Source organism: Homo sapiens, chromosome 10 (genome assembly GCF_000001405.40).
Source record: "Homo sapiens chromosome 10, GRCh38.p14 Primary Assembly".
Lineage (NCBI taxonomy): Eukaryota > Metazoa > Chordata > Mammalia > Primates > Hominidae > Homo > Homo sapiens.
In genome coordinates, this window is record NC_000010.11 from 47,523,669 (window position 1) to 47,534,865 (window position 11,197).

General features: G+C 44.4%; 1 protein-coding gene, 1 long non-coding RNA gene and 2 pseudogenes across 4 annotated transcripts in view; 1 reads left to right on the plus strand and 3 right to left on the minus strand.

Annotated features, from left to right (window-relative positions):
* ANXA8 (annexin A8) overlaps positions 1-11,197 on the minus strand; it is a 523,804-nt gene that overhangs the window by 55,676 nt on the left and 456,931 nt on the right. The window lies entirely within an intron of this gene.
* BMS1P2-AGAP9 (BMS1P2-AGAP9 readthrough) overlaps positions 1-11,197 on the minus strand; it is a 51,748-nt pseudogene that overhangs the window by 21,916 nt on the left and 18,635 nt on the right. The gene's annotated exons all lie outside the window — the stretch shown is intronic.
* LOC124902421 (uncharacterized) lies at positions 453-6,799 on the minus strand. The gene is made up of 3 exons (XR_007062141.1): positions 6,046-6,799; positions 1,355-1,424; positions 453-465 (listed from the first exon to the last, which is right to left on the minus strand). It is a non-coding gene; the product is annotated as an uncharacterized LOC124902421 (long non-coding RNA).
* On the plus strand, positions 8,684-8,799 carry RNA5SP312 (RNA, 5S ribosomal pseudogene 312; annotated as a pseudogene).

Genomic DNA, 11,197 nt, shown 5'->3' on the forward strand with positions numbered 1-11,197 from the left:
GGGCACCAGCCCTGGCCCCGGCCCCGGCCCCGGCCCCGGCTAGGGCTGCGGGCCAAGGCCCGCACCCTGCTGCCTCCCCTGAGTTGACTTGTCTGGGAGGGTGAAGACCAGCCGGCTTATTTAATAGGTTGTGAACCCAACAAGCGCTGAGAGACACAACAACTGCCTGAAGAGAGAACAGACGGAGCTCCTCCTCCTTCTGTAGTCACCTACAGACTGAAGCCCACTGGCCCCAGGTGGGAGCCCAGGCATGTGGCACACAATGCCCCACCCCACACTTCACAATGCCCTCCCCGACACCTCACAGTGCCCCACCCTGCCTGCCACCCCTCCCCAACAGCTCAGAATGCCCCTGCCTTGGCTGCCCCACCCTGTGGCTTATGATGCTGCTGCTCTCCTGGCCCCTCGTGCAGTGCCAATGGGACTAAGGTTTTCATTCATCACCAGCTTCCTGAGATTTTAGTCCTAAGAAAAGCACAGGGTAGTTCATTCCTCGAAGCCAGCTTCCTCTACGAGTTCTACACAAAGCCTCAGTAGAGTGGGTCCCATTAGCAACCAAGTTGAACAACTTTTATTTGCTGTCTGAATATAGATACACCTGAATTGTTGACTGCTTTTGTAACTAAACACTCCTCTCCTGTCTTCCAACGAGTGGTCATTTTTGTCCGCAACTTGATCACAGCAATCCCTGGGGCCCTAGCTCTACTCTCAATAAAGAGTTATGGCTGTGTGTTTTGAATGACACCTTAGGACCCATCCTGCCTCCACCTCCTTCTCCATAAAATAGAAACCTAACTTGTCCCTCCAAGCTCTGAAATGCTGAAACTTACCAACTCCCTTTTCTCCCCGCTATTTCTTCCTTCCATGGCAGGGACTTTCAGATTTTCTTTCTTTTACTAACAAGGCACTAAACATGATTTTCTCATACAAAATCGAGAGCCATAAAGTGGCTTACCACAGTCCTATTTCAATAAAGATGAATACTCGACATCTGGCAAGTAGTGTGTGCCTGACAGTGTCCCCACTGTGCTATGCTCATTTAACCCTCAGAAACAATCTCATGTTACAGATTTTACAGAAGTTGTTGGGACAGAGAAGGTAAGTAAACCCCCCCAAGGTCACATGACTGCTAAGGGTGGGGCCATAGTTTGATCCCAGGTAGTCTGAATTCCCCAATTGCTTAAGCATGATTATCAGAAAGTATAGCAGTCTGTTTTCACACTGATATAAAGAAACACCTGAGGTTGGGTAATTTTTAAAGGAAAGAGGCTTAATTGACTCAGTTTCACATGGCTGGGGAGGCCTCAGGAAACTTACAATCATGGCAGAGGGGGAAGTCCTTCAGGAAACTTACAATCATGGCAGAAGGGCAGGTCCGACTTACATGGTGGCCGCACAGAGAGTGGGAACATGTGAAGGAGCAACTGTCAAACATGTATAAAACCATCAGATCTCAGCTGGGCACGGTGGCTCACACTTGTAACCCTAGTACTTTGGGAGGCCAAGGCAGGTGGATCAACTGAGGTCAGGAGTTTGAGACCAGCCTAGCTAATGTAGTGAAATCCTGTCTCTACTAAAAATACAAAAATTAGCTGGGTGTGGTTGTGCATGCCTGTAATCCCAGCTACTCAGGAGGCTGAGGCAGGAGAATCACTGGAACTCAAGAGGCAGAGACTGCAGTGAGCCAAGATCGTGCCATGGCACTCCTGCCTGGACAACAGAGCAGGACTCCATCCCAAGAAACAAAACAAAACAAAACCCTATAAGATCTCATGAGGACTTACTGAATATCACAAGAACAGCATGAGGATAACTGCCCCTGTGATCCAATCACCTCCCCCTAGGCCCCTCCCTCGACACATCGGGATTATGGGGATTATAATTCATGATGATATTTGGGTGGGGACATGGCAAAACCATATCAGAAAGTAAAGGTAGAAGTCAAGCTTGGATGGGAAATGACATTGTAGATTATTATTATTATTATTATTTTGAGACGAAGTTTTGCTCTTGTTGCCCAGTGAAATTGTTTCTCTAATTTCATTTTCAGATTGTGTCTTGTAGATGTATAGAAATACAATTGATAAATGATTCTGGCTATTAACCTTTTATGCTTCAACCTTGCTGAACACTATTTTTTTTTTTTTTTTTTTGAGACGGAGTTTCGTTCTTGTTGCCCAGGCTGGACTGCAATGGCGTGATCTTGGCTCACTGCAACCTCCGCCTCCCGGGCTCAAGCGATTCTCCTGCCTCAGCCTCCCGAGTAGCTGGGATTGCAGGCATGCGTCACCATGCCCAGCTAATTTTGTATTTTTAGTAGAGACGGGGTTTCTCCATGTTGATCAGGCCCACCTCAGCCTCCCAAAGTGCTAGGACTACAGGAATGAGCCATCGTGCCCAGCCAGATTCGTATATTTTTAAAAGAATTTTTTTTACTTTTTATTTTTTTTTTTTTTGAGACAGAGTCTCACTCTGTTGCCCAGGTAGTGGCACAATCATTGCTCACTGCAACCTCCACCTCCTGGGTCCAAGTGATTCTCATTCAAGTGCCTAAGCCTCCCAAGTAGCTGGGATTACAGGATCCCGCCCCCATGCTCAGCTAATGTTTGTATTTTTAGTAGAGATGGGGTTTCACCATGTTGCTCAGGTTGATCTCGAACTCCTGACCTCAGGTGATCCACCTGCCTTGGCCTCCCAAAGTGCTGGGATTGCAGGCGTGAGCCACCACTCCCAAACAGAACAACATTTTTTTGATGTGGATTTTAAAATGCCTCCCCTTCTTTCAACATTAAGTCCCTTCTACATGCCAGGCACTGTATGTGTGAAATAGTCCCAACTCTCAATGAGTTTAGGCAGATACACAAACAAAGGCTTAAGGAGGTCAGTTTTCTGAGACCATACTGCTGGACAGTATATGAACCTGGGATACAAACCCACCTCTATTTGACCTCAAATTTGATGCTGGGGTGGTTTTAATTTTATTCTGGGAATTTCAGTCATTCAACCATAAAAAGGTGAAAAGTCTCTGTCAGATGTGCGTGTAGTGGTCTGTATAATAAAGACTGAAGGAAGCAACCAAACCAATTAAGAGACTTTCTCTAAAGGCAGAGTAATGCTAAGGGCAGTGGCAGTGACAAAAGTGGAGGAAAAAGTCTGTGATCATTTGGGAGACAGAATAGGAAGTGCTTGGTCATGAGATGTGAAAGAAGAGGGGAAGTAGAAGGAAAACAGAGCTGCTCAGGCTCTGCTGGGGAAGACTGGGTATGTAGCAGTGCCTTCCTCCTGGCCGAGAATGTAGGAAGAGAAATAGGTAAGGAGGAAAAGATAGTTTTTTACTCTCAGTGTCACATTAAAATGGAACTCTCTGGTCAAAAGTTGAATATAAATCTCTGTAGGCTAAGTCCATTTGTGACATCCCAACATATGTTTTCAAAAATAACATACACACTAAATCAAGCCATTAAGCGTAACTGGGGAAATTTCCTAAAATTTACATGCTAAAAAATCACCATTTTTCATTTATTACTTTCATGGAGCAACTTTGAATCTATGGTTACAGCAGGTGAGGCACCTTGTATAAAATAAAGCTAATACATGAAATAAAACCATTTAAAATTCTATTGTTCTCAGAGAATGGAGAAAGCAATTGAAGCCATGGGTGTGGAGGTGACTGCCTTGAGAAGTTGTGTATAGTAAGGAGAACTGGGAAGAAAGAAGACCTGGAGAATAGGGTGATTTGCACGGCATTAAGTGAAGCTTGAAAAAGTGAGCACTGGGAGTCAAGAGACATGTATGAATCAGGAATGGCTGCTCCTGTGAGTTGTTAGAAAGGAGATGATGCCTTCTTTTCATATCTATAACAGTAGCACCTAGCACAGTGCCTGTTCAATAGGTACTCGACATGTATTATCCCAATGCAGAGTCAAATTTTGCCAGGAAGGCAGGAAAGCTACAAATTAGCTATGGCAACTTAGTGATTGGGCTTGTGTGTGTGTGTGAGTGAGCTGGATGTCAGGCAGTGGGCAAAGTAGTGAACTGGAGGTGAGAAAACAATGACACAAACTCAGGGCTTCTCTTCCCAAGTATTTGGCTGAGAAGAGAGATGTAGTATTAAAGGGAGATATGTGGTAAAGGAAGACTTTTATTTCAAGATTCAACAAAAGCGTGAGTATACTTCTATGTTAAAGGGAAAGAGCCAATAGAAAAAACACATTTTTGAGGTTAGAAGAGAAGGAAGAACTAATGCAGAAGGGCCCCAAAAGGCACAGGTGCGTGCAATCCGGATCAGGGACAGATTAGCTTTGGATTCCTACAAAAGCAAGAAGGGAGAAAGGACCATGTGACACTAGAGCTATTTCTGGTAAAGGAAAGGTTTGGGAAAAGATCTTTTGATCACCTTTATTTTAACAGAATGTTTTTTTTTTTTTTTGAGATGGAGTCTTGCTCTGTCACCCAGGCTGGAGTGCAGTGGCACGATCTCGGCTCACTGCAACCTCTGCCTCCTGGGTTCATGCCATTCTCCTGCCTCAGCCTCCTGATTAGCTGGGACTACAGGCACCCGTTACCATGTCCAGCTAATTTTTTGTATTTTTAGTAAAGATGGGGTTTCAACGTGTTAGCCAGGATGGTCTCCATCTCTTGACTTCGTGATCCGCCTGTCTCGGCCTCCCAAAGTCTGGGATTACAGGCGTGAGCCACTGCACCCGGCTAGACTTAAAAAAAAAAAAAAAAATACTGTGGGAAAAAGGATATTATGTATAGAAAAGTCTACACTTCTTGATACAACTAACTAAAAAAAGCCTGATACACTAAACAAAACCCAAATAATGTCTTCCCTAAAAGTGGGTAACTTGAAAAGCAATTCGAGCAAAAATCAAGGAGTTCAATTATAAATAAGTATATCAACAAAGTGAAAGATGGGTTTAATTTTTCCCACAAAAAGTTAAAAGAAATAACAGCAGTTTTAGAGGAAGAGGAAAAAATAATAAGAAAATTACATGCAGTTGCAAAATGTGTGACTATTTACAAACTCTAACATATAACTACAAAACGGACCAGAAGAATCATTATCATAGGAAGCAAAGGGTCATTTCAAAAATCAGAGGAGGGATGATTCATATTTAATTTAATTCTGTGGAAAAAATTTAAGTAACCTTTGAGGACAAAAATAGGTGATATGTTGAAATGCGGGAAACCACAGTGGAAGGAAAAAGAATTCAAGAAAGCTCAGTTTCAGTAACCAGTATCTAGTAAAATCTTCAGGACCTAGAGGCTACAATCTGCATTAATAGTGTCTGAAGACCTAGAAATGTCATTAAATACCATTTTGGATAATTCTTGTAGACTTGAGATGATGTCTATTTAAAGTTACAAAATAGTGCCCGTATTTCTGTATTCATTACAGACAACAATTGGATATGGAAAAGAAACTAACATGCTATGCCACAATCTCTAAAGAAAGATTAGGGATGTTTCAGCTTAAAGCAAGAATAATCACAATAAAGTTTTACGACCCTTTGCAAGCATATATGAAAAACTTACAAAAAGTTTGTAATGATCTTTTCTTAAGCTAAGAGAATGGAAAAAATGAGAAAAATTAAATTATAAAATGAAACTTTGGTTTAGAGGTAAGAAACATTTGATGACAGTCAAGAGATCAGGGTTGTACAGTGTATTATGTGAATGTTGTGACTCATTGGTTTCATCTTGGATATCATAACTTGACATTTTGTAAAAGTGATTTTTCATGGGAGTTTTTTCAGGTGCCCTGAAAAGTCCTGTCCCATGAGAAGCGAATAATAGTCTTCCATATTCTTGCGATATCTTAATGAATAGCATCTTCTACAGTCTTCCATTGTTTAGTCCTTGGAGAGACACTGACTGAAGCTGTGAGGTTTCACAATGACATGTCAGCCAAATACATATGCTCAGATTTACCATTTATCAAGAGGTCTTCACACTATCAATTGTGCAATTATCATTCTACACACAGGCAGTGATAAAGGGAGTAAAAAACCACAGCCATGGATCGGGAGACCAAGGTACCTCCAGAGGAGTCCAGTGGGTCCAGAAGCCCTTTGGATGTTGGTCAGAGGCTCCTCTTGGGCAGAGATCACAGCAGCAGCCAACAGGTCTGGTGAAATCCTTAAGAGTTCTCATGGACAAAGCTTGTGAAGGCATCTTAGACAAGATCTTGTCTTTGCTGGTTTTATGATCCTCTGCAGATGGGTCTATTCTCATTATCTCAGCCACCTTTCACTTCCTATCAGTTCAGTTCAGGTCTCTCATGATCCCAGGCAGCAGTAGTTGTTATCACGTGAGTTCATTCATATATGTTTATCTCTTTGGGGATGGGGGGACAACTTCACTGTGGACTTAATTCTACTGGAGATGAGTGACCCCATTTTAAGACAACAGGATCACAAATTATTATCACATATCAGCAGGGCAGACAATAGCTACGACCTGGGGCTGAAAGCAGGTAACTCCATTTATCCTGTAAACATTGTCTTGATTATGGTGCCAGTTGCTGTGAGGGATTTCCTTTCCACCACCTGTTTTTCACAAGGTTTGAGTCTGAACTGCTAACATTCTACTGATTTCTGGGTGAAGGGACTGACTGCACCATCCTACCCTGTCAGAGCACTTGCCCCAGTACTTCCACTTTAAGAGTTTTCCACCTTGTCCAGAACTACAGTCCATTAATCCCCTCATTTTCTCTCTTAAGAGAATAAACAGGCCAGGCGCGGTGGCTCACGCCTGTAATCCCAGCACTTTGGGAGGCTGAGGCGGGTGGATCATCTGAGGTCAGGAGTTCGAGACCAGCTTCGCCTACATAGTGAAATCTCGTCTCCACTAAAAAAAAATCACAAAAATTAGCCGGGCGTGGTGGCAGGCGCCTGTAATCCCAGCTACTCGGGAGGCTGAGGCAGGAGAATCCCTTGAACCCGGGAGGCAGAGGTTGCAGTGAGCCAAGACTGTGCCACAGCACTCCAGCCTGGGTGACAGAGTGAGACTCCCTCTCAAAAAAAAAAAAAGAAAAAAGAGAGAAAATAAACAACACATCTCAAGTACACACCCACATCCCTCTTATCCCAAATACCAAACACACAAAAATCCAATCTGTCTCCTTCTACCTAAGCAATTTTAGATAGTCACTGTCTCATAATTACCTTAAGCTCCCTGACTTGCTGCTCATCCTTTCTCTGGCAAAATCTCATCCTTGGATGAGCCCGACTTTGTGTTTGCTCAATGACACCACTCACCTGAACCAGAAAAAATATCAAAAAGTGGTCAGAGATATCATCATAAATTCAAATTACTTACACAAAAAATTGGCCCTAAATGTTTCCAGAAATCAATAAAAGTTTTGTTTCTCCAATGACATCATTTCTTCAGAAACCCAATGTGTATAACCTATTTTTTCTATGTTCTTCTAACATTTATTCAACTTCTCTCATCTGATATCTTGCCAAATCATTCAAAGAGAAAATATATCCCATTAGGCAAGAGCCCACCATATTCCCATCACCTGAGAAAATCATATGCACAGGATGCACCCACCTCACCTTTCTCTGCCTCATCATGTCAGAAAAAGTACCCCACCTTTTGTCACAAGGCAAACCTGAGATAAAAGATTTAGATGGCCTGTAATTCCAGCACTTGGGGAGACCAATGCAGGCAGATTATTTGAGTCTAAGAGTTCAAAAGAAGCCTAAGCAACTTAGGGAAACTGCATCTCTCAAACAAATACAAACCATTAGCCTAGCATGGTGGTGTGGTGGCACATGCCTGTAGTCCCAGCTACTCAGGGTGGGGAGCACTGAGGTGGGAGGATCACCTGAGCTGGAAGGTTGTGGCTGCAGTGAGCCGTGATCACGTCACTGCACTCCAGCCACGGTAACAGATATTTTTAAAAGGATCTTCTCTGTTAAAAATAATCAAATAAACAGGTGGCCATGAGGCTGAGGTGGCTGCCGTGCACTCAATTCCTCCTTAAATAAACCAAAACTTGACTCAGTGTAAATAATAAAAGGAAATGTAAGAACCAATCAGAAACCACCAACTAACATCTAACTAGAGACCTTCCACTGTAATGTTCCAAATGAGGCCACTGCTCCACTTCACCCAATCAAGTATTTTCTTTTTCTTCCACATTCACCATATAAAATTCTTCCCCCACCCTCCCTAAGCCTCTCTGTGGGACCTCTGAGCTGCTTGCAGTCTGGGGCTGCCTAGTTTATACATTTCTGAATGCTCAAATATATTTTCTAATGTTTCAAAGTGGCTCTGGTGTAGGAGGTTGTTGGTGGAGTGACCCGAGAGTATACAGGAATTGAGGGCATATGAGATCTCTGGACTCTGCACTCCATTTTGCTGTACACTCAAAACTACTCTAAAATAATAATATATCTTTAAAAATCTATAACTAGCACGTAGCCCTTTTCAAGCCTCCAACTGGTTGGAGCCAGTTCGATTAAAGCTCAGAAGAAAAACTGGTTAATAAGCTAGTTCTGACCCAACTGGCAAGAAGCGGCAGGAAAGACCCAGGCCAGGGGAGCATATTGCACATGCATGCACCAGGAAACTGGAGGAAGCTTGGAGGCCCTTTAGCCTGGTCCTGAGCCCGCTGAAACTGCAGTTACAGCACAGATGCCTGGGGCACCAATCTGAATCTGCCAACATCCAAGGCCACATGAACACAAATGCGCAGTCTCCTCTGCGATCGGTAGCTAAGGATGTTAGGCCATGATTGGACTAGGATGGGAGATGAACTGAGAACTATGGATTCTGTAGGTTGTTGTTGTCTCTTCCCACCCCAAGCAACAAGTGATGAACACACACACACACACACACACACACACACACACACACACACACACATCCCGTAGTGACTAACAGGATCTCCCTCCAGGGGATTTGCAGAAAGGGGAGCAGAAAACATCCCAGGGGCCTTTCACAGCTACTTCCTTGAGCCCCCTTTCAGACTGCTGTCTAGACCTGTCGCAGCCCAAACATCACCACCCTGATATGCAGAAGCTGGCATCCTTACCTGAAATTCAACACCAAGAAATGATCTCTTCTACTCAACACTGATAGAAATACCTCTAAGCAATGTCCTCATTGGCAGGGGTGGAGTGGGGGAGTTTCTTAAAAAGTGAGGCCTCTGCCTACCACCTAGAGAACCTGGAAATTTCCATCTGTGCCACAAAGTCCAAATCACTGGCCACTGCCCCAGTGTATGGCAGATTAGAACATCTCTCCATTAGATCTGGGTTTCTATTCCATTGAGTGAAATGGCTTTTCTATTACAGGAACAGAATAAGGGATCAAAAGGGTCTTACAACTGAACTCCAGTGTACAGTCTGCACAGACACTAGGCTTGTGCAAATATGACACAGCGAGGCCCCAGGACCCTTAAGCCAGCTGAATGTACTGAGTTTCAGGAAACAGTGAGATACGTTCAGCAAAACAGTGGGCTTCATGCTGAAAGAAGTCATTCCAAGTAAACACACATCACACACACACACACACACACACACACACACACACACACCCCCGCAGACACCCTAGTGGCCAATAGGTCCTCTCACCAAAAACCTGTGATCAGGAGAGCAGAAAGCCTCCCAGGGGTCCATCACTGCCCTTTCTGGAGCCCCTTATCAGATGGCCAGCCCCAGGACAGCACTGTCTGATCCTGGTCCAGTCCAAACCACCATCACCCTGTGATGTGGGAGCTGGCCACTTCACCAGAACCTCTGTGTCAGAAAAATTTCTCTTCCTTTTAAAATGATGAGGGGGAACCTTCAGACAGTGTCTGATTAGGGTGGGTGGAGAGAGGGGTTTCCTAGAAAGTCAGGCAGGGCAGGGCTGAAGCCCTCTGGGTTAACTGAGTGCTTTTGATATGAAGGCAGGTAAGACTGGACAGGTGGGGGTGTTAGTGAGGGGATGGTGTAGGGTGTGCTGAAGAACTCCACTTGGGCTCTCCACACCAGGGAAAATGACCATAAAACATCCCATCTTCACTGCTCAGAGAAGGCTAGATCTGCTGTGAGCTAGAAAGCCATGTGGGGGCAGCTGATGAGTCATCAAATGGGAGAAATCTGAGAGCCATGTGTTCCACAGGCCTCTGGTCCTTGTTCAGGCAGCAGGGCACTGTGACATGTGGCTCCTTGGCCCCTTCCAGCCACCACCTTGATTGCATGCTGCAGGGAAAGAGACTGAAGACCAAGAATGGGGTCTTGCTCACCATGGGATGATGGCTCAGTACAGAGCTGAGCTATGTATGGCCCAAGAGGCAGAACGTGGGGATGACCCAGGCTGAGCTGGGGGATCCAACTGAACATGCACTTGCTAAGAAGCTGTGGGCTATGATGCCTTGGGACCCCAGTCTGGGTCTAGAATTGTAGCAAAACAGGCTACTGGTAAAAGTTCTTGAGAAGCCAACTCACTTTTGCTGTCATCCATGGGCAAACAAACCAAGCCCCACCACTTCCCACTCCCTCTGAAAGCCTCCTGCCCCTCTGATCGACCACACCACAATGGTGTCACTCTGTAAGGCACAGGTAGACAAGGCATCCAGCCATGAACACTCCAGGGCGCACACATGTCCAGAATACGCTGGTTCTTGTTGAGACTCCACTCTTCCAACTCAGACAGAAGCTCCCCAATCTCCTCAGCCACTCCCAACAACTGGAGGTCTGAAAACTTTCATGCATGCCGCTATGGTCTAAACCACTCGTGGCGGTTTTCATTTTCATTTTCCTGATAATCAGTGATGCTGAGCACCTTTCCATATGCCTTTTCACCAACTGGATGCCTTCTATGGCTAAATGTCTATTCGAATCCATTGCCCATTTACAAATCTGCTTTTTTGTGGGCTTCTTGATGTTTTTCTCTTTTTTTTTCCTATTTATTTATACAAGTTCCTTAGGTATTTTGGATATTTTTTAAAATCATTTTCAATTCCACTGCCCAGTTATAATTTTTTTTTTTTTTTTTTTGAGACGGAGTTTTGCTGTTATTGCCCAGGCTAGAGTGCAATGGTGCGATCTTGGCTCACAGCAACCTCCACCTCCCAGAGTCAAGCAATTCTCCTGCCTCAGCCTCCTGAGTAGCTGGGATTACAGGCATGTGCCACCATGCCCAGCTAATTTTTGTATTTTTAGTAGAGATGGGTTTTTTCCATGTTGGTCAG